Here is a 24,676-nt window from a genome sequence, read left to right on the forward strand (position 1 = left end):
AGACCTTCCCTCACCAAAAAAAAAAAAAAAAAAAAAAAAAGTGAGGGAGAGAGAGAGAACATGAATTCACAGATAAAACTATAATGTAAATTAGGCACAACAAAAAGGTATCCACATCTAAACAGACCATAGTAAAACTGCAGAACATCAAAGGAAAGATATTAAAAAGCAACCAATCACCACAGTGAAGCTCAGCAGTCAACAAGCTCTACTCAGGTAGACAGTCTAATCAGGTGCTTAGTACCTAAACATTAAGGCCTCTAAGTATATGAAAGGACAAAACAAATCTCCAGGAAAGATGCATCTATAGGAAACAGAAGAAAAGCAAACAGCATAAGAAAACGCTAAAAAAAATTACGAATTCTTCAGAGATGTAAGAATAGGATACTATCAGAGAACAAGATAGACCTTGGAATTTAAAAACAAAAATGGGAAAACAAATTCAATAAATGGATGATAAAGTCAAGGAAATCTTTCAAAAAGCGAGTGTGTGTGTATACATGAGACAAAAAGCTAGGCAACAAGAAAGAAAAAAATAAGAGTTCAACCTAGAAGATCCAAAATCCAATTAAGAGATATTCAAGAAAGAGAAAACAGATGGGAACAAAGTTACATAAAAGAAAAAAACAAAACAAAACAAATTTCCAAGACCAAAATGGGGCATCCATATTTAAAGAGACCATATAAGCCCAGCTTAATGATTTAAAAAAAAATTTATACCAACATGCATCATTATAACAATTCACAACTCTGCCAATACTGGTATTAAAAGCTTCGGCACTATGCTACACAAAAAGAGAAGGGAATCAAAATATCAGTGGACTTCTCAACAGCAAGACTGATCAATGTATTGCCTTCAGATTTCTAAAAATTCTTACCAGAAAATCTATACTCAAAGCTCCAAGTGAAAATAAATGAAACTAAAAATAGAAAAAAGGAAAAAAAAAGAAAACAAAGTTGGTTTTTTGAGATCAATAAAACTGATAAACCTCAAATCAGAGATAGGAAAAACAAAAAAAAGAAGACAAAATATCCCAATATCATAAATGAAAGAAGTAACAAGGCCAGGCGTGATGGCTCATGCCTGTAATTCCAGCACTCTGGGAGGCCGAGGTGGGTGGATCACCTGAGGTCGTCAGGAGTTCGAGACCAACCTGGCCAATGTAGCAAAACCCCATCTCTACTAAAAATACAAATACTAGCTGGGTGTAGTGGCATGCACCTGTAATCCCAGCGACTCAGGAGGCTGAGAAAGGAAAATCGCTTGAACCCGGGAGACAGAGGTTGCAGTGAGCTGAGATTGCACCACTGCACTCCAGCTTGGGCCACAGAGGAGAGACTTTGTCCCCGTCTCCAAAAAAAAAAAAAAAAAAAAAGTAACATTGCTGCAGATTCTACAGATATTAAAATATTAAAAAGACTATATTATCAACAACCTTATGACATTAAATTTGACAACTTGGATGAAATGGACAAATTCCTTCAGAGACATAGAACCAAATGTCACTCATAAAGAAACATACCTGAATAATCCTGTATCTACTGAAAAAACTAAATTTGTTAAAGATCTTCCCACAAATGAAACTCTAGGCTCAAATGGCTTTACTGGGGAATTCTACTTAGGAAATACTACAGACTTTATACCAACTTTTCTTTTTGTTTTTTGAGACGAAGTTTCGCTCTTGTCGCCCAGGCTGGAGCGCAATGGTGCAATCTCGGCTCACCGCAACCTCCGCCTCCCAGGTTCAAGCAATTCTCCTGCCTCAGCCTCCCAAGTAGCTGGGATTACAGGCATATACCACCACGCCTGGCTAATTTTTTTTGTATTTTCAGTAGAGATGGAGTTTCTCCATGTTGGTCAGGTTGGTCTCAAACTCCTGACTCAGGTGATCTGCCCACCTTGGCCTCCCAAAGTGCTGGGATTACAGGCATGAGCCACCACGCCCGGCCTATATATCAACTTTTCTAGAATATTGAATAGGATGAAACAGTTTACAAACTCATTCTACTAGGCCAGTATCACTTTGATCCCCAAACCAGATAAAGCAATTAGAAGAAAACTACAGAATAAATATCATGAATATAGGATGCAATTTTTTTTTTCTTTTGAGACAGAGTCTCACTGTGTTGTCCAGGCTGGAGTGCAGCGGTGACATCTTGGCTTACTGCGACTTCCGCCTCCTGGGTTCAAGCTATTCTCGTGCCTTAGCCTCCTGAGTAGCTGGGATTACAGGCATGTGCCATCATACCCAGCTAATTTTTGTATTTTTAGTAGAGATGGGGGGTTACACCATGTTGGCCAGGCTGGACTCGAACTCCTGACCTCAGGTAATCCACCCACCTCAGCCTCCCAAAGTGCTGGAATTACAGGTGTGACCCATTATGCCCAGCTAGATGAAAATATTGTTAACAAAATTTTAGCAAATTGAACCTAACAATATATAAAAAGAACTTAGCATGACCAAGTATGTTCCTTCCAGGAATGTAAAACTAATTCAACATTTGAAAATCAATAAATTCACCGCATTAACAGACCAAAGAGGAGCCATATAATCACCTTGAAATATGCAGAAAATGCACTTGACAAAAATCTAACATTGATTCCTGAAAAATATTCTTAGCAAACTAGGAAGACGTACTATGTTCATGGATCAGAAAAATTAACATTATTAAAATGTCAGTCCTTCCCAAATTGATTTATGATTTAACACAATCCAATGAGAATCACAGCAGATTTTTGGGTAAAAATCAAAAGCTTGTTCTAAAATTCATATGGAACTGCAAAGGCTCTAGAATAGCCAAAGCAAATTTCAGAAGAACAAAGTTAAGACTAAAGCTTCCTGACTCCAAGATATATTATAAAGCTACAGTATGAAGACAGTAGGGTTTTAGCATGAATATAGACAAAAAGATCAATGAAACAGAATAAGAGTCCATAAATAGACCTCTATCTATCTATCGGTCTCTCTCTATATGTATGTCTATTTATGGGTATATATGGGTCTATATATAGATATCTATAGATACATATAGAGTGTATATATATATCTATAGATTTACATACCTATAGATATGTCAATATCTATATAGATATCTACAGAATCTATATATATCTATAGATTCACATCTCTACCTATAGATATCTATATCCCCAGTGTTTTGTTCACACTGCTTTGTTCACACTATGTAATGACACTATGTTTTTGTTTTTATTTTTTGAGATGAGGTCTCACCCTGTTGCCCAGGCTGGAGTGCAGTGGCATGATCTCAGCTCACTGCAACCTTCACCTCCTGGGTTCAAGCGATTCTCCTGCCTCAGCCTCCTGAGTGGCTAGGATTACAGGTGTGTGCCACTATGCCTAGCTAATTTTTTATTTTTAGTAGAGACAGGGTTTCACCATGTTGGCCAGGCTGGTCTCAAACACCTGGCCTCAAGTCATCTGCCCGCCTCAGCTTTCCAAAGTGCTGGGATTACAGGCATGAGCTGCTGCGTCTGGCCTATGTTTTTTATGCCACTTTGTGCATTGCTCATCAAGGTTAGTCTTGTTCATCTTCTGGCCCTCCAAGCATGTGGCACAGTTCAATGGTGTGGCACAAGGCCCGAGGCAGGGAGGCCTCTGCTGCCCTCACAGGCCTACCTCCATCACCTCTCTCTGTTTGCTTATATATCTATAGATATATACGGTCAATTGATTTTTGACAAAGCTGAAAAGGCAATTTAGTGGAGAAAAAAAAAATAGTCTTTGAACGAATGGTGCTGGAAGAATTAAGACATTCATATGCCAAAATACCACTTTGATCCATACCTCACATCATATATAAAAATCAACTGAAAGTAGTTCATAGGCCTAAATGTAAGTTAACGTAAGAGTTCTATAAAACTTCTGGGAAAAATATTAACAATCTTGTGTTAAGCAAGAAGTTTTTAGCTATGACAAAAAAAATATAACCCATAAAGGAAAAAAAATTCGGCCAGGCACGGTGGCTCACGTCTGTAATCCCAGCACCTGGGAGGCCGAGGCGGGCGGATCACCTGAGGTCAGTAGTTCAAGACCAGTCTGGCCAACATAATAAAACCCTGTCTCTACAAAAATACAAAAATTAGCTGGGCATGATGGCAGGTGCCTGTAATCTCAGCTACTCGGGAGGCTGAGGTGGAAGAATCGCTTAACCCCAGGAGGCAGAGGTTGCAGTGAGCCAAGATCGTGCCATTGCACTCCAGCCTGGGTGATGGTGTGAGACTCCATCTCAAAAAAAAAAAAAAAAAAAAGAAAAAGAAAAAATTTCATAAACTACATTTTGTCAAAATGAAGCATTTCTGCTCTTTGAAAGACAATGTTTAAGAGAATAAGACAAGCACAGACTGGGAAAAATATTTGCAAATCACAGATTTGATAAGGGGTTTGTATCTAGAAACATAAAGAAGTATCAAAATTCAATGACTGAAATAACCCAATTCATAAAAAGAGGCAAAAGATCTAAACAGAAATTCAAAGATATACAGATGGCAAGTAACAACATGAAAAGATGCTCAACATCAGCGGTCACTGAGAAAACACAAATTAAAACCACAAGATACTGTAACACACCTATTAGAATGACTAAAATTTATAAAAGTCCTCTACAGTCAGTGTGGCAAATGGAACTCTCATACATTGTGGATGAGAATGTAAAATGGTACAAGCATGTTGGAAAGCAGGCAGTTTCTTAAAAAGTTAAACAACCACCTACCATCCATTCCACTCATATATATCTGCGAGAAATGAAGGCATATACCCATACAAAGACATAAACACCAATGGTCATCATAGCCCCAAACTGGAAACAATTTAAATGCCCATCAATAAGGGATTACACAAATTGTGGTACGTCCATACAATGATTTCATTTTGCTTCTTGGTAACAAAAAGGAATGAATTATTGATATACACAGCGTGGATAACCTAAGCCAGACCCAAAAACGTCTTACTGTATGACTCTTTTTACAAATGCAAACTAGCTGTATAGTGACAGAAGGCAGATCAGTAATTACCTGGGGATGGGGTGGGGGCCAGGAGTGGAAAAGGGGAGTTATAAAGGAGCATGAGGAAACTTTTAGAGATGAGGATTATACTACCTAGATTGTGGTGAAGGTTTCATGAGCGTACACCTATGTTTCTGTGCAGTTTAATTTTGTCAATTTTTACTTCAATAAGGCTGTTAAAAAAATCTATAGCCAGCCAAATTATCAACCAAGTCTAATGGTAGAAAATGTATTTTCAGATATGCCCCTGAAGCCCCTTCGAAAAACTTAGCTCTCATGTTCACTTTTTTCTCAGGAGATGATTAGAAGATATGTTTCATTATAACATCAAAGTAACCAAGAAAGAGGAAGACGGTTGATTTAGGAACTACATGATTCAGTACAGCACAGAGGTAACGAGAGTTTCTAAAGCAATGATAAAGGGATGTCTCAGCGTTACAGCTGTATAGCGGGTTTAGAGAACAACCAGATTGTATTAGAAAAAGAAGATGGATGATGGCTCTGGAAGGATTCTAGGAAAAATATGAATCTTTGTGTTTGGAGCTTGTTGCAGCAGCATGGGGAAAAAGGCAACAGGCACTTTCAACACTGACTAAATGAAAAAAGTGAACCAATCAGTAACTGCAGGAAACAAAGTTGTATCAGAAAGGAAACAGTACAGTGACTGGCTGGGAAGCTGTAAATACTATTTATGTACTATATAAACACTAGCAATTTAAACAAAACTTGTGATAAAAGTCAATGAAGTGGGCCGGGTGTGGTGGCTCATGCCTGTAATCCCAGAACTTTGGGAGGCTGAGGTGGATGGATCACTTAAAGTCAGGAGTTCGAGACCAGCCTGGCTAACATGGTAAAACCCTGTCTCTACTAAAAATACAAAAATTAACTGGGTGTGGTAATGTGCGTCTGTAGTCCCAGCTACTCGGGAGGCAGAGGCAGGAGAACTGCTTGAACTTTGGAGGAGGAGGTTGCAGTGAGCCAAGATCATGCCACTGCACTCCAGCTTGGGCGACCAAGCGAGTCTCCATCTCAAAAAAAAAAAAAAGTCAATGAACTGGATAAGCGTGAAAACAACATGGCCCCTCATTTCCCAATGAGATTAAAAAAACAATTTTTTTGGATCAACTTGAATAAAAACAGTTTAGGGGATAGACAGTAAAAGAGCAAATGTCTATTTGTATCAACTAATACACTTTTTATTTTTCATAAAACTTAATTCATTAAATTTAAATTACTGCCCTTTATTATATGATCATGTCCTTTATTATAAGATCACTTTCTTTAAGGATGGTTATAGGTTTTTACCATAAAATACTTAACTTTTTATTTATAAATTTATAAGTTACAACAATACAAAGAACATCTAGACAACCTTTATCTTGACTGACCAATGATTAACATTTTCTCCCAATTATTCCTCTCTACACGTATATTTTTCCCTCTCAACCATTAATGAATGGTTTATATGCTTTAAGCCCTTTTACCTCTAAATCAGAAGTAGAAGCATAGCTCAGGGTTTTTTCACCTTGGCAATATTACTTTGGGCCAGAAAATGCTTTTTTTGTAGGAGGCTAGCCTGTGCATTATAAGATGTCTAGCATCATTTGTGGCAGTAACACTCGCCTTTATCCCCCAGCGGTGACAACCAAAAACACCTTTAGGCATTGCCAAATGTCCCCTGGAAGCAAAAAACAAAAAAAACAAAAAAAAAATCCCAGTTGAGAACTATTGCCTTATCCTTCAATGTGCCTTTCCTAGTAATAAGGATATTCTCTTACATAATCATAGGTCAGCTATCATCTTCAAGAAATTTAACATTAACCCAATACTTTCATCTGATCTACCATCCGTCCTCCAGTTTCGTCAACTGACTCAACAACACCCTTTACAAGATCTTCTTTTCTTCTTCAGCCCAGGGTCATATATTTCATTTGTCATGTGCCTTAGTCTTTAATCTAGAGGGAGACCTTATCTTTTTTTATATTTGATGTCTTTTAAGAATGCGGTCCCTTTAAGACTTTTTACCCTTTTTCTATAAATCTATAACTGTTCTCAAAAGTCTTTTTTTCTTAAAGACTTTATTTTTTGAGAAGTAATAAATTTATGGTAAAAGTGAAAATTCAGTAGAGTTCCCATATGGCCCAGTTTCCCCTATTAACATCTTACATTAGTATTGAACATGCTACAATAAATGAAATACTGATAGGTACACTGTCATTAACTAAAGTCTACATTTTCAGTTTTCCTTCATTTTTACTGTTCTTTTCTCTGTTCCAAGATCCCACAGTACATTTAGTCACCCTAAGTTTTCATTATTTAAGTTGTCATACAGCTTCTCTTGGTTGTGAGAATTTCTCAGGTTTTCTTGGTTTTTCATGACCTTGACAGTTTTGAGGAATCTTGGTCAGATATTTTGCTGACTGTTCTATTGGAATTTGTCTGATAGTTTCTTCATTATCAGGCTGGGGTTATGTTTTTGGCAGGTACATGGCAGAGGTAAAGTGTCCTTTGTATCAGAGCATTTCAACGATACACACTAACATGACTTATCAATGCTGACGTTGAACTTGATCATCTATCTGATTGAGGTAGTGTTTATCAGGTTTCTCTGCTGTGAAGTTACTCTGAATCCTTTCCTAAACTATACTCTTTGGAACAAAGTGACTATGTATACCCCACATTTAAGGAACAGGGAGTTATATACTCCCCTTCTTGAGAGTGGAATGTTCATATTAAGTATTTGGAATTCTTCTGTATAGATTTCCTCTTTTAAAAAATAAAAAATTTCCTTGTTTTGGGTTTTAGGTGCCCTCAGGATTATACTTAGGTTGCACTGCCTAATTGATGCTATAATTTTCAAGGCATCAAATCCAGAGGCACGAGGTCCATCCACCCCTTATTGGTGATGTTAATTTTTTTTTTTCTTTGAGACAGGGTCTCCCAGGCTGCACCCAGGCTGGAGTGCAGTGGCGTGATTTCGGCTCACTGCAACCTCCACCTCTAGGGTTCAAGCAATCCTTTTGCTTCGGCCTCCTGAATAGCTAGGATTACACGTGTCACCTCACCCAGCTAATTTTTGTACTTTTTGTAGAGACGGAGTTTTGCCATGTTGCCAGGCTAGTCTCAAACTCCTGGCCTCATGTGATCCTCCTGCCTTGGCCTCCCAAAGTGCTGGGATTACAGGTGTGAGCTGCTGCACCTGGCTGGTGTTAATTTTAATGACCTGGTCTAGATATGGTCTGGTTTCTCCACTGTACTTTTACTATTTTCTTTAATAAGCAATCTATGGGGAGACACTTTAAAGATAATGCAAATATTCAGCTCATTAAATTTTCACTCAAGATTTAGGATCCAATGATTCTTGCCCAGTCTCTCACTGTGATGATTTCCCAACCCCAACATTCCCTGCACGTTCACCAGTCAGCATTCTCTAAGAAACAGCTCTCTTTTTTCTCTTTTTATTTATTATTGGTATCAACTCATGGATTTCTATTTTTCAATGTTGTATTTTTTTTGAGATAGCGTCTCGCTGTTGCCCGGGCTGGAGTGCAGTGGTGCTATCCTGGCTCACTGCAACCTCCACCTCCCGGGTTTAAGCAATTCTTCTGCCTCAGCCTCCCAAGTAGCTGGGATTACAGGTGCCTGCCACCATGCCAGGCTATTTATTTTTTTATTTTTAGTAGAGACGGGTTTCACCATGTTTGCCAGGCTGGTTTCGAACTCCTGACTTCAACTGATCTGCCCGCCTTGGCTTCGCAAAGTGCTAGGATTACAGGCATGAGCCACCATGCCCAGCCTACTTTTCAAGGTTTTATAACTCGTTATTGTCCTTAATTATCTGGGTGATCATACTGTCCCAGAGTAGGCCAGTGGGAGCCCCTTAAAGCCTACTCCTGTGTCATTCTGACATGCCTCTATCATTTTCTGAGCATTTCCTTACTTTCTTGCATAATAAGATACTCCAGGCTTATCTTATAACCATTTCTCTGTCCCAGCCCTGGAACCAAACATTTCTCCTAACAGCCTTGGTATCTTTTAGTGGGGAATGATATAAGAAATAAAGATCTAGGTATTCAATGTACTTATTGCTATTTGGGTATCTCTTTGCTTCTGGGCCTTTCCACTGGACAAAGTATACACACATGTATGTGACATATATATACACACATGTATTTTAGAAAATTATGAGTTCACACTTAAATCCCCAACTCCAAGCCATCCCCACAGGGTTTTTTTCTCACTTTCCCACACTTCACATTTGTGTCTTTTTCAACAGAATGCTGGCTCTTAACAAAACCTATCTACTCATTTGCTCAACCCTTTTAGACATTTAAATAGTTACAGAAGCATTACAGCATATCACTACAAAAAAACTGTTGGAGTTTAGTATTTCTTTGCAGTCACTTTTCTCTAGACTGACTACTGAGTATAAAAGTTCCTTGGATTATTTATTTCAATGTGGTTGTTACTGATTTGAAATAAGTTAGAATTGGTTTCTTTTGGTTTTTAGTCTCCTCCATCATCCTTATTGGATTTATTTCATTTTTTGGGGGGACTACTGGGAAGATCACCCTTCTTGCAAAAATAAAGAAATATACAAATAGGTGTAACTCAAATGTCATTTCTTTCCCTGCCTCACCACCCACCCTGTTAAGCGGGTAACCAACTTTATCACTTTCCGGTTCATTCTTCCTGTGTACATTTTGAAAAAGTAAACAGTATATGTACAGCTATATATATGTTTTCTTATTTCCATTTCCTTCACAAAAGTCACATACTATATTCCTCTCTCCTGTGTTTTTGTTTAGAAATATACCCTGGAAATCATTCCATTTCAGTGCACTGACATCTTCCTTATTCTTCTTGCAGCTGCATAGTACTCCATTGTGTATGTTTATTCAACAAATCTCTCGTTTCAACATTTAGTTTTCAATGTTTTGCAATTACAAATACGCTGCAGCGAACTTATGTATCTGTGTGTTTATACTGTGCATGGTATACCTCCAGGGTATATTTTTAGAAATGGGATTGCTGTGTAGGATATATGTATTTGTAATTTTGTTAGATATTGCCAAATTCCACTCCAAAGAAATGTAATCATTTGCACCAGCAATATTGAGAGTGCTTGTTTCCCCAGAGGTGCTGGGAATGTATTGCCAAGTGTCTGAATTTTTCCCAAAATGATGGATGAAAAATGGTATGCCAGTATAGTTGTCACTGTCTTTTTTTTTTTTTTAAGCTCTCTATTTGGAAGTAACTTTGAACTTTCAGGAAAGTTAGAAGAATAATACAATGAAGTCCTGTGTACTCTACTCAAACACAACAATTACTAATATTTTGCCCCATATTTTTCTTCTCTAAACACATAGATTTTCTGAATAATTTGAAAGTTACGTATCACAAAATAATTCAATGTGCATTTCCTTGGAATAAAAACATTTTCTTATAACTGGAGCACAGTTATCAGTTTTAGGAAATCTGACAATATATGATACTTTTCCCTAATTCACCATCCACATTCCAACTGACTCAATATCTTTATAGCATTTCCTCCTTCAAGACCAGGATCACATAAAAATTAAAAAGTCGTATCTATCTCTTTAGTGTCCTTTAATCTGGAAGATTAGTTTTAATTTTTTTTAGATACAGGGTCTCCCTATGTTGCCCAGACTGGACTCAAACTCCTGGTGTCAAGCGATCCTCCCACCACAGCCTCCTGAGTAGCTGGGATTACAGGTGTACACTGACGTGTTTCGTTTGAAATTATTTTTGAAGAATGCAAGCAAGCCCCTTCCCCCTTAACAGAATGCTTCTCATTTGAGGTTCATCTGATGTGTCTGTGTCCTTAGGAGACTCTGGTTATGTACCCCATAATATTACATTTGTCCTCAGGAAATTGTAACCAGAGTCACAAGATTCCTATCTGTCTCTCACTGGTGATGTTAATGTTGATTACTTTGTTAAGGTGTAGTCCAGTTTTCCACTGTATACTACGTATTTCTCCTTGCAACCAATCGGCAACCTCAGGGACACACTTTGAAATATGACCACATTGTTTCTCACTGAAATCTCACCGCCATTCTTAAATTTGGCATCTAATGATAACTTGTGCCAAACCAAACATTAATATGATGGCTGCAAAACGATTTCCCAACTCCAGCACTTTTTTATCAGTCAGCAAGAAATCCTGTCATAACCCCCTTTTATTGACATACCTACCTATTCATTATCAGTATGAATTCACTAACTTCTATTTTTTTCCCAGTGGTTTATCATTCATCACTATTCTTATTCTGGGGCTCAAAATATGCCAGATGTGGCCACAATGATGTCCCTGAACTGGTTCTTGTGTCCTCTTTTTTTTCCTGAGACAGTCTCCCCTTGTTGCCAGTGCAGTGGCATGATCTCAGCTCACTGCAACCTCTGCCTCCCGGGTTCAAGTGATGCTTGTGCCTCAGCCTTCTGAGTAGCTGGGATTACAGGTGTGCACCAACAAGCCAGGCTAATTTTTGTATTTTTAGTAGAGGCAGGGTTTCACCATATTGACCAGGCTGGTCTCGAACTCCTGGCCTCAAGTGATCTGCCCCACTGAGCCTCCCAAAGTGCTGGGATTACAGGCATGACCCAACATGTCAGACCTCCTGTGTCCTTTTGACATACTTCCATCTTTTTTTTGAGGAATTCCTTACTTTCTTCCTTATCAAGATATTCCAGGCTCATTTTATACCTATGCTGCTCCAGCCCTGAAATCAATAATTTTTCCAAGGAACTCTAGTCCTTATTAGCAAAGAACTGGTATTGAAAGCCAAGATCTGGGCACTTAATGCAGTTCTACAGAGCATTTTTTTTTTAATGGAGTTCTCAGTCTGTCGCCCAGGCTGAAGTGCAGTGGCATGATCTCGGCTCACTGCAACCTCCGCCTCCCAGGTTCAAGTGATTTTCCTGCTTCAGCTTCTCGAGTAGCTGGCACTACAGGCGTGTGCCACCACGCCCGGCTAATTTTTTGTATTTTTAGTAGAGGCGGGGTTTCACCATGTTAGCCAGGATGGTCTTGATCTCCTGACCTCGTGATCTGCTCGCCTCAGCCTCCCAAAGTGCTGGGATTACAGGCATGAGCCACTGTGCCCGGCCCTAGAGGATTTTTTTGTTATCTTATTTTGTGTGGTTTTATGTGCCTACTTTTTTTCTTCTTTAGGGTTTTTAGTCTTAATTTTCTTCAAAGTTCTTGGCATTGAGAAATTTACATTTACCCTTTATCTGTATGTATGGAAAATTGTGATTTTGCACATGAAGCTTTTCCCCATACATTTAAAATATCTGAGATAGCAAAATGTATCAGTATTTTATTTCATTGTACCTTGATTATGAGTCAGAAAATTTTTTCCTGAAGCATGGTACAGAAAAATTTTCCCGTATTTTTTCCTGGTATTTGTATAGTTTTTATATTTAGATCTAATGTGTCTGGACTTTATTATTATGTATAGCATGAAGAACAGTTCTAATATTTTTTCCAAATGGCTATCTAGTTGCGCCAACATCCTTTATCAAAATGTCCATCTTTATCTCAGTGATTTAAAATACCACTTTAAGTGCTAGGTTTCCATATGTAGTTGTGTCCATTTCTGGATTTCACACTATTTCCCTGGTCTGTTCTTGTGCCAATGTCTTGCTTTCTGAATCATCAAGGGTTTGGAATGTATTCTGATATCTTGCAGAGCTAGATACCCCCTCAAAAATCTTTTAATGTTTTTACATTCTTGCATGTTTATTTTTCCAAGTGCACTTCAAGTATTAGATAGTTCAACTCTATACCAAAAAGTTATCAGTCTTTTTATATTATGATCTCATTAAATTTCTAATTAACTTTGGAAAAAGTGACATTTTGATATGTCTCAAGGACAGTGGATGTCTTTCCATTTGTTCAAGTCTGCTTTGTGTCTTTTGGGAATGTTTTATATAGCCTGCTTCACATAGGTTTTTAACAACGTTTTTAAGGAAGTAAATCCTTAGGAATTTAATTATAGTTTGAGTATTCCTCATGCAAAATGCTTGGGACCAGAAACATTTCAGATTTTGGAATATGTGCATACGCATAATTAGATATCTTGGGGATGAGACCCAAGTCTAAACACGAAATTCACTTGTTTCATATCCAACTTATACACATAGCCTGAAGATAATTTTATACAGTATAAAAAAAATTTTGTGCATCAAGTAAGGTTTGTGTACTCTGAACCAGCAGAAAGCAAAGGTGTCACTATCTCAGTTGCCTATGTGGTTATCTGTGGTGTCATGTCCATGCTCAAAGAGTTTCAAATTTTGGAGCATTTTGGACTTCAGGTTTTTGGATTAGGGATGCTCAATCTATGTTTTGTTGTTGCTATTGTAATCTTCTCTTTTGTTGTATTTTCTTAACTGGTTATTTTCTCACTACACAAAGGTTTATTATTTTATATCCTACCTCGCTGAATTGTTTGAAGGTAGTTTTGTCACTGATTTTTCTAAGGCTTTCCAGATAAACAATCACGTCACTAACAAACAATCTTTTCTTCTTTTTCCACTGTTATGTCTCTAATTTGTTTTTTGAGACAGGGTCTCACTCTGTCGTCCAGGCTGGAGTGCTGTGGTGCAATCTCGGCTCACTGCAACCTCCGCCTCCAGGGTTCAAGCAATTCTCCCACCTTAGCCTCCTGAGTAGCTGGGACTACAGGCACGTATCACCACACCCAGATAATTTTTTTTTTTATTCTTAGTAGAGACGGGGTTTCACCATGTTGGCCAGGCTGGTCTTGAACTCCTGACCTCAGGTGATCCGCCCGCCTCAGCCTCCCAAAGTGCTGGGATTACAGGTGTGAGTCACTGCACCTGGCCATTTGTTTTCTTTTCTATCTGTATTGACTCATATTTCCAGTATAATATTAAGTCATGGAGAAAATGGGCATCCTTACTCTATTCTTGATTGTGGTGTTTCTTAATAAGATTCTGGCTTTAGGGTTAAGGCTATGTACATGTGCATATGTGTGTATTCATAAAAATAAAAATATTGTATGTTAAGGAAGTATTCATCCATTCCTATTTTCTGAAAAGTTTTTGTTAGGAACAGGTGTTGAATTTTGTCATAGGCTTTTTCGGCTTCTATAAAGAGAACACAACTTTTCTCTTCTGACCGATTAGTATGGTGAACTACATAAATAGATTTCCAAATACTGAATCATCCTTGTATTCCTGGTATAAAACTCACTCATCAAAATGTATTTTTGTAATATAGTGTGAGAGACTGCACAGTAATAGTTTTTCATTAGTATCTGTATGTGATAACTCTGTAATTTTCATTTTTTGAGCTATCTTGATCAGGCTAAGAAATCAGTATTACTTTTTTTTTTTTTTTTTTTTTTGGAGACACGGTCTTGCTCTATCGTTCAGCCTGGAGTGCAGCAGCACGATCTTGGCTCCCTGCAGCCTCAACACCCCTTGGGCTCAAGTGATCCTCCCACCCCAGCCTCCCAAGTAGCTGGGACTATAGGCACAGGCCACTGTGCTCAGCTAATTTTTTAGTTGTTTGTAGAGATCAAGTCTCACTACAATTGCCCAGGCCAATCTCAAACTCCTGGGGTCAAGTGATCCTCCTACCTTGGCCTCCCAAAATGCTGGGATTACAGGCGTGAGCCACTGCACACAGTCCAGTATTACTCTTACGTCACAAAAATAATTAGCTTTCCATTTTCTATACTCATGTAGCATCGGGAGTATCTGGTCAGGCAGAATTCCCCTGTGAAACCATCTAGGCCTGGTGTTTGGTGGGATGGTTCCTTGACAAATTTTTAGTTCTTCTAGGAAAATTGGTCTTATTTTCTTTTAATCTCTAATGAGGTCAATTTTATTAAACTGTATTCTCCTAAGAAATTATCCATTTCATCTAGGTTTTGAAATGTATTTGTACAGAGGTGTGCAAAATAGTTCTGTATTAAAATAGTTCTCAATTTCCTCTGTATCCAATGTTATTTTCCCGTTGTTATTTCTTAAAATTTCATGTGTGCTTTCTCCCTTTCCCCACTTGGTTAAATTAGCTAGTGATTCATCTATTATGTGACTCTTCCCTCAAGGGTCCAAGATTGGTTCATCAACTAGACGTATAGTTCTTCTGTTAACTCATTAACTTCTACTTTTATCTTTATTTCCTTCCTTGTGCTTTTGGCTTACTTTGTTCATTTCTGAATTGGGAATTTATTTTCATTTATGTAAGTGTTTAGGGCTATGAATTTTCCTCTGCTCACTGCTTTAAATGTATTCCACAGATTCTGGTATGTAGTATTATGTAGTACTTTTCTTATCATCATTTTCCAGAAACTTTGCAATTTGTGTTTCCCTTTTACCCATTAAACTTTTAAAAATTAAGGCATACTGTTGAACACTTATCAAAATATAGGACTTTTCTGTCACTCTAGAAAGCTCCTTCCTGTCCTTTCCCACTCAATCTCTCCCCAGTCCTGAGTTCTATTAGCTTTGGCTAAATTTTGTATATATTTAAGATTTTATATAAATGGCATAAAATCGTATGCATATTTTTGTGTCTAATTTCTTCCAGTCAGCATAGTGTTTCTGAGATTCATTCATGTTACATGTATAAATGGTTTCTTTTTATTGCTGAGTAATACTCGTCAATGTATCAGCTTACCCTTTCTTCATCCAGATTTTACTATGAATAAAGCTGCCACGAAAATTCTTGTACAAGGTTTTCTGTGAATACATAATACAAGGTTTCTTAACTTCAAGACGGAAGTGCAATGTCCTTTTGCTTTTTGAATTTGTTTTTGTTTTCTTGTATGGGACCTACTAATGTTTTTCTAATAGATTGACAATTTTTTGTGAATATTCTGTGTTTAAAAAGAACATACTCTCTGGCCCCGCATGGTGGCTCACACCTATAATCCCAGCACTATGGGAGGCCAAGGCAGGAAGACTGCTTGAGCCCAAGAGTTTGAGACTAGCCTGGGCAACATGGCGAGACTTCGTCTCTACAATAAGCAAAAAAAAAAAAAAAATTAGCTGGGCATGGTGGTGTGCACCTGTGGTCTCAGCTACTTGGGAGGCTGAGGTGGGAGGATCACCTGAGGCAGGGAGGTCAAGGCTGCAGTGAGCCGTGATCATGCCACTGTACTGCAGCCTGGGAGACAGAGTTGGGGGTGGGGGGAAGCAGTATATTCTTGATTATTAGGGATATACTTGAAGATTCACATTATATTATTTAGATCTTTTATATCCTTTTTTACCCACTACATCTTGTGCTAAGTGTCAAAGTCCCCTAATTTTAGTTTTTTATTTCTTCTTATACTTCATATAGATTTTGCTTTATACAGATTGTTGCTGTGTTATGTGGTACATATTTAACTGTGAATTCTTTGTTGTGAATCATGGTTTTTAGCATTATAAACTGTTCTCTTTTGTCTGATTTAATGCTTTTTTTGGTTTGAATTCTACTTTGCTATCAGCATTTTCAGTCTTGTATTCTTGGGGTTTCTATTTGCCTGGTACATATTTGTCCTGGCCTTTATGTTTGCTCTCAATTCTCCACATATTTTATCATTAGGGTATGCATTATGTACTGTATACTTTTTTTTCTGTTCCATCATGGTTTTCTTTGTCCCTTTAAAAATTTCTCTCAGTATTTTGGAAAGTCTTCGTCACGCTTACCTTTATATTAATAGCTTTTACAGTACACTGTATTTTTTTTCTTACCTAATCTTTTCTATTTGGTCTTTCAGTTTTAGATGGTAGCCTCTGACTCCCTCATATTACTTCAATTACAGTAATTATTCTTATTCTAGTTCTGAAAAAGAACAGTTCTAGACAGGGTCTCATTCTGTTGCCCAGGCTGGAGTGCAGTTAGGCAAACACAGCTCTCTGCAGCCTTGACCTCCTGGGCTCAAATGATCCTCCTACTTCAGCCTCCTGAGTAGTTGGGACTACAGGCATGAGCCACCATGCCTGGCTAATTAAACACTTTTTTTTTTTTTTTTGTAGAGACTGGGTCTCACTATGTTGCCCAGGCTGGTCTAGAAGTCCTGGGCTCAAGTAATCCACCCACCTAAGCCTCCCAAAGTGCTGGGATTACAGGTGTGAGCCACCACACATGGCCTTAGTTTTTCCTTTTATTTTCCATCCCATTATATTTTAGTTGCATTCTTTCTGCTTTGTCAGAATGTATAATGTTTATGTACTATTCTCTAGGTCCCTACTATTGGTTTTAATCTTAGTTCAAAAAGATATCTGAAATACTTATTGTCACAGTCTTTTTGTAGGAAATGTCCCAAATATCTTTTAGATGAAAGTCATCCTTTTCGAGTGTCCTCAGGAGGGGTAAACGAGTACAGTATTCCCTGAGTTCCTGCATGTTCAAACTGTTGTTCTGCAGCCCTAATACCTGGACAACAGTTAGCTGGATATAAAATCCTTGGCTAGCAGTCACTTTCCTCATGCTGCTCCACTGTCTTGCTTTGTTATGTTGCTTTTGAGAAATCTGACACTGGTCTAATTCTCTTGCCTCTATGTCACGTCTTTGCCTGGAGACCCTGAGAATTCTTTGCATCTTTACAGTCATACAGCTTTACTAGGAAATATCTTTGAGTGTGCCTTCTGGTATGAACTTCTGTGGTATAGATTCAGATCTCTTTTCACTTCCAGAAAGTTTTCTTGGATTATAGTTTTAAATATTTTCTCTTCTTGAAGGACACCAATTATATACAGTAGACTTTGGATCCATCTCCCATTTCAACTTGGTCAATTTTCAAAACAAAAATCTCATCTCAATTATCCTGTTTTCCTGCTTTTCTTCAAGACTTTTTATTAAATTTGAATTTGAAATGTGGGAATGTTAAAACTTCATTATTGGTTATGATTTTATCTTCTATTTTTCTGTTTAATCTACTTTGTGTTCATTTCTTAATGCTTTTTGTTCTTTGTATTTGTTTCAGAATATTTCTTAATTTTATTTTTCAAATCTCCAAACATTGGTTTGAGGATGTTTAATTTCACTTGGAGCATTGTGTCAATTTTTTCCTGCTTTTTTTGATGGGGGTAGATTTTCATCAGTTGAAATGCTGATTCACATTTCCTGTTTGTTTTTTCTTACAGTTCTGTATGGATGTGGCCTGCTCTTTTCTATTTCTGTTCATTTCATAGGCAGAGCTCCTACTTCAAGAACACCCTCTTCTCTAAGTTCAGTTTTTTTCTTTTCCTGAAGAATTTTTTCTTCTTTCTTCTTCTTCACTGCCATGTTTCCAAGTCTTCACTGACATGTCTCCAAGTCTTCATGTTTCCCTTATGAGGCAATGCTTATAATTTAAAGCTACCAATTCTGGTACTGCTTACCTTTAAGCTCTTCTCCATACATAGAGCTGTGAACTATCAAACTCCAAACCTATGATCAATGTTTTGGAGCTTTTTTCAGATTTTCTCTTTCTGAGAGTGGATCTTTGTACCTTGTCTAAAGCTTTCACACTCCCATACCTCTTTCAGTAAATTTGTCAAGCCTTCCCTCTCTCACTCTTAACACCTAGAGGAATGATCATAAGGAGCAGTTGGAATTTGGTTTATTTCTCTACCTATAAGAATCTACAAATCTCTATTTATAGGCAGAGAAATAAACTAAATTTGTGAGTTGAACTCTTAAACACATTTCGTCCTATAGGAGTTTATTTGTAAATTCTACAATAACCTAATATTGGACTTGCTCTGTCATTCAAGCTGCAGTGCAGTGGCATGATCTTGGCTTATTGTAACCTCTGCCTCCCAGGTTCAAGCGATTCTCATGCCTCAGTCTCCCGAGAAGCTGGGATTACAGTGTGTGCCACAACACCTGGGTAATTTTTGTATTTTTGGTAGAGACAGGGTTTCGCCATGTTGGCCAGGCTGATCTCGAACTCCTGGCCTCAAGTGATTGGCCCACTTCGGCCTCCCAAAGTGTTGGGATTACAGGCATGAGCCACTGCACCCAACCATGTTGGACTATTTTTGTTACTGATCTGATTTGGTTATTATTATAATATTTGTAATATGCTTAGTATGTGTCAGGCATATTCAGCACTTAAATCTGTAGCAGCGCATTTAAACCTTATGAGTGTCACTCTCATTTTACAGGAGGAAGCAGTGGCCCAAATAGGCTAAGCAACTTGCCCAAGATCATATAACCACCATGAACACTAATAATATGAATCATGGGACTATCTTAAAACGTTTTAAATTTTAACCTTCTTTCTCCCCCCTCCCCAATACTGGTTCTGTCAGCTAGCCTCTGTAAGCATACAAAACAAGCATCAAATAAATATGTTTCAGGTAACGTGCCTTCATGAACATTTTGCTCTTCAAAATAAAACCGAGGCCAGGTGCAGTGGCTCACACCTGTAATCCTAGCACTTTGGGAGACCAAGGGTGGGTGGATTACTTGAGGAGTAATCCACCAGGAGTTCCAGACCAGCCTGGCCAATATGGTAAAACCCCATCTCTACTAAAAATACAAAAATCAGCCATGTGTGGTGGTGGCACCTGTAGTCCAGCTACCAGGGAGGCTGAGGCAGAAGAATCACTTGAACCCGGGAGGCGAAGGTTGCAGAGAGCCAAGATTGAGCTACTGCACTCCAGTCTGGGCGACAGAGTGAGACTCTGTCTCAAAAAAAAACAAAACAACAAAACAAAACCCCAAAAAACTGCAAATCATATTAGATGACTAAGGTCTTGAATGTAGGGAGATGGAATGATTGTAGGTAGGTAAACCTTGCTTTATATTTGGGTGTATGTTCTAACTCCCTGTCCACTATAAAGTCACTAATGTCTAAAATTCATATACTAAATAAATAATATAAGCCTAAGCTTTAGAATTAGAGAGATAGATACTAGATGAGAAAGCTAAAAGAATGAAAGCAGTTGTCTCATCAGAGCTGAATTGGGACAAGGACCATTTTTTTTGGAATACTTTTAGCATTGTTTAATTATTGTACTATCAAGTGCATGTATTACTTTGATAAAAATAAAAGCTAATTTATATGAAGTATACAGTACATTAAAAAATTAAGTTGGTATATATTGAGAGATTGATGATATCTGGTATCAGTAAATACATGTGGGAAAAACAGTGCTCATATACACTTGGTAGGAAGGTAACCTTACACTATCTTTCCGGAAGGCAATTTGACATTACATATGAAAACTTAAAATGGCTATGCCTTTTGACTAGGTAATTCCATTTTTAGGAATCTGTCCTTCAGAAATACTCATACATAATACATACAAGGACACAAGAACCTATGTAGAAGGATGTTTGCTAATGTAATAATAATGAAAAACTGGAGACAAACTTACAATCAGCAGGGGAATCATGAGCAACAGGTAAAATACTGAGTGGAAAAAATAAATCACAATATATAGTATAATAAAATATATCACAATATGACTCACTTTTTATTCAAAGAGACAATATACACTGGCATATACACAGATCAATATATGTATGTTTGTTTTTATGTGCACTAAGAAAGACCTTAGGAGTAGCTAAACTTTTAGCAGGGTAGAAGTGGCATGGGAAGATGAATCTAACTTTTCAATATTTTTCTTTTTTAAAACATTATAGGTGTACTTCTATAATAAAAAATAAAAGGTTTTTATAGTGACAAAATTAAAGAAGAGATCACAAATCACAACAGAACTTCATTGTCCTACTGTAACTGTCACTTAGGTAAACCATCCTCCCTATGAAATCTACAAGGGAATTAAAAAGCATAGTCATTAACTTATTGGTATAACCAAACAAAAGTTCCAACAAAACTAAACATCTCTGGGAGAAATGACAGAAAACACTTGAAATCTTAAATGCAGGTGTCAATAAACATGGAGCCAAGTAATATTAATAATAGTGTAATTTCAATATGAGTAAACTCACCAGATATGAATAAACTCATCAGAAGTCAACCAATTCTTCATTATCCAAACCCACTGGGAGCAGTGGCTCACATAATTTTCAAATTTTTATATTTAGCTATGGAGCAAATATTTTCTAGAATCTTAAATTTGAATGTTGTATGCATGAGATCACAAAGTAGTAAACAGAGATTAATACATACTCTACAATGACTGAACTTGGTAGGAGCTCAAGAGCTATTTAGCTCCTGCAGGCCTCTTTTTCATTCTATTATACTATGAGGATGAAAGCACATTCTGGTATAGTGATAAAACTCATCAGTGTAAAGAGAAATGCCTTCTTTCTTTCTAAGCTTACTGTTACGAGGAACATAAATGGTAAGGATTTGGGATTACTGAGTTTTTATTTCCCACAAATTCAATGTGCAAGCAAGAATAAATTCATGTCAATGATACAATCAAGAGGAAACCAAAAGCAATAATATTCTGAATAACCCATCTAAAGAAATGGAAAAGTACCCAGGAGAATGATAGGAGAGGACAATATTCTACATAGCAATATTTTAAGATTTAAAGCAACAGTGAACAAAAGGAAGTGATTCTTTGATCTACAAGAAATACAAATTTCTACCTCTTTGGGTTCAACTTCTAGACCTATCACTGTTATGACTTCGGATGTAACAATTACTTGGGTCTCAGTTTCCCTCTCTTCTAAATAAGAAAAACATCACTTACCACACAGGAAGGATGTATGATAAAATAAAAAAATTCACATGAATAGGCTTTCAGTTCTTCCGAAGAAAGCTATGAATCCTTAAGTACAAACCTGGAAAGCTAATTAAAAATAAGATGACCATATCAAAATTAAGTCTGAAACATGCAGTGGCCTAGAGATTCCCTGAGATCATTATCAGCTATCAATTCTACCCCAATAATAGAATTCATACTCAAGCTGGGTCTGTAGGGCGAATGTGGTCTGAATGATCAAACAAGATCATTTATTAGTATGTTAACATAGAGACGGGCCAGGCGCAGTGGCTCACGCCTGTAATCCCAGCACTTTGGGAGGCTGAGGCGGGCAGATCACAAGGTCAGGAGTTTGACACCAGCCTGGCCAATATGATGAAACCCCACCTCTACTAAAAATACAAAAATGAACTGGGTGTGGTGGCATTTGCCTGTAGTCCCAGCCACTCGGGAGGCTGAGGCAGAAGAATCACTTGAACCCGGGAGGCGGAGACTGCAGTGAGCCGAGCTCATGCCACTGCACTCCAGCCTGGGCAACAGAGCAAGACTCCATCTCAAAAAAAAAAAGAAAAGAGAAAGTAAATTCAACAGCTTATTCAGTATCATATTGATCTGATATAACCTAAAAACACTTGATCTGAAATGATAACATTCTCTTGGTGTTTACCTTTAAAAAATATATTTGGAACTGGTTGCTCAGAAGATATAAAATCACTGAACAATAGTAACTACAGGGTGTTAATAATTAAACAAAGATGGGTTAAACACATACAGATACACAAGGGGGCTACTTCTCTGGTGTATAAAATAATCTCTAGCAAATTTTAAAGCTTAGAAGTCTTAAAGTAATAGATGATGATAACCTTTTTTTTTTCCTTTTTTTTTTTTTGAGACGGAGTCTCACTCTGTCGCCCAGGCTGGAGTCCAGTGGCACAATCATGGCTCACTTCAACCTGGGTCTCCCACCAGACTCAAGCAATCCTCCCACCTCTGCCCCCGAGTAGCTGGGACTACAGGGGTGTGCCACCACACCTAATTTTTGTAATTTTTTTTTGTAGAGACAGGGTTTCGCCATGTTGCCCAGGCTGATCTTGAACTCCTGGGTTCAAGCAATCTGCCTGTCCTGGGCTCTCAAAGTATTGGGATTACAGGCGTTAGCCAACACACCTGGTTAATATTAACCAATATTTATTGAACGATATATACAAATCACTATGCTTAGCACCAGAAATACAAAGAAGTATTAGACTTAACATTCCTGTCCTACAATTAAGACTGCAAACGGTGGCCAAATAATTGGGCCACAACGTTGAACAAACTAATGAGTATTATATACAACCAGTTTTAAAAGACTAGTAGTAGGAATTAAACATAGTGAAAAAGGAAAAAGAAGGAAAGCCTGGGAACACATCTTAACATTTTATCTTATGACTTGTCTCATCTTTTATAGCAGCTTACTTTTTTTAAACAGCGGGCATAACATCTGAGTGGAGGTTTACAGAAACTACAGGAGGCAGGGCTGATGTTCACCCTGTATTTCAGATGAGGAAAGTGAAGCTTTCAAAGAGGTTACACAACTCACCTAAGATCGCAGTTCAGAGAGGTAGCTTGCTGACTTTGTCCAGAGCTCACTTCTACTAGACTAAATTCTAAATTATCAGTGCTAAAGTGAGAACTCGAAGGGACCTCAGAAATCTCCTAATGGAGTGTTTCCCTAACCAACCTGATAAACTTTCTGGGGTATACATTAAAAACACATTCCCAGGACCCACTGCAGACCTACTAAATAAGTTATAGGAGAGAAGTTTAGTATTTTAACAAGAGCCTCCAAGAAGTGATTATAATGATTAGTTATGCTTAGAAAACAGTGTTCTATGTGTGTATGTCCAGTATGCCAGACATTTGGCTACTTAAATTTACATTGCCTAAAACAGCAAAATTAAAAATTGAGTTCTTCAATTTTTAGTTCCACTAGTTACATTTCAAGTGCTCAACAACCACATGTGGCTAGTGGCTACCGTAACTGGACAGCAAAGATATAGGAAATTTCCATCATTGCAGAAACTTCTATTGGATTATGCTGATACTAGACTAACCCTTCAACTGCCATGAGAAAATGGAGGCACAGGATCTTGTCCAACAAGGGCCATGGAGCTACTCAATGGCAGAATTGTGACATCAACCTCACTGCCAGCACCCCTCTTATTGTATCACTTCATCCTATCTCATATTCAGGGTTTGTTCAAATGGGAATTATTTCCTTTTCACCTTTTATTGTGGGTTCCAGCAAAGCAAGAAGAGAAATCCTAAATTTGCAGGTAAAAAAATCCTTAAGCCAAGGTTTATTAAAAAATAATGATTAAATCTATGTGCAATTTTTGCCTGAAATCAAAAGTCATCTTGCACAGTTAAGAATACTGTGGTGTTAGGAGAAATATCTTAGCTTGTTTTAACTATTGTAAGTCCTTTCTCTTTTATTGTCCTGATGTTTTTATTCTTTCTTGAATTTTGAAACCCTCAGACTAATGATACATAAGTGTGAAAGGTTATATCTTATTTAGCAAACATTTTAAAGATGAAAAGCTGAGAAACAAAGAGCAACCCAAAGAATGTCACTTGTCTAATTTTAGAATGTGGTTACTCAGACTACTGAGCACTCTTGGCTTTTAGTAATTCAGTGGTTTAGTATTTATCCTAATATGTTGTTTTCACTTTTAAACTATAGCTTATATTTTCCTTTGATCACTATGTTACATTTGAAAACAATTTAAAATGTTGTTTTAATTTTCAACATTATTGAGGGACCAAAAGCAGCACTAGAACATCTAGAAAGGTTTAGATAATAAGGTCAACATATAACCAGCTTTAAAGAATATGGCAGCGTCTTAAAAATAAAACCAGTTGTTCCTGTCTAGTATGTTTAGAATGCAGATGTCTCCAAAGTCAGTCAACTTAAGTCATGACAGTTCATGTTTAAAGTAAGCAGGAAAAAAACTT

General features: G+C 37.5%; 1 protein-coding gene across 20 annotated transcripts in view; it reads right to left on the reverse strand.

The window, feature by feature from the left end:
- MBTD1 (mbt domain containing 1) overlaps positions 1-24,676 on the reverse strand; it is an 83,534-nt gene that overhangs the window by 55,621 nt on the left and 3,237 nt on the right. For 2 of the 20 annotated variants that reach the window (XM_047436322.1, XM_047436323.1), the window contains exon 3: positions 15,699-15,760. The exons of the other annotated variants lie outside the window; for them this stretch is intronic. The gene's annotated coding sequence lies outside the window, so the exon portion shown is untranslated. The remainder of the gene's footprint in view (positions 1-15,698; positions 15,761-24,676) is intronic. 20 annotated transcript variants of the gene reach the window in all.

The sequence above is a fragment of the Homo sapiens genome, chromosome 17 (assembly GCF_000001405.40).
Source record: "Homo sapiens chromosome 17, GRCh38.p14 Primary Assembly".
Lineage (NCBI taxonomy): Eukaryota > Metazoa > Chordata > Mammalia > Primates > Hominidae > Homo > Homo sapiens.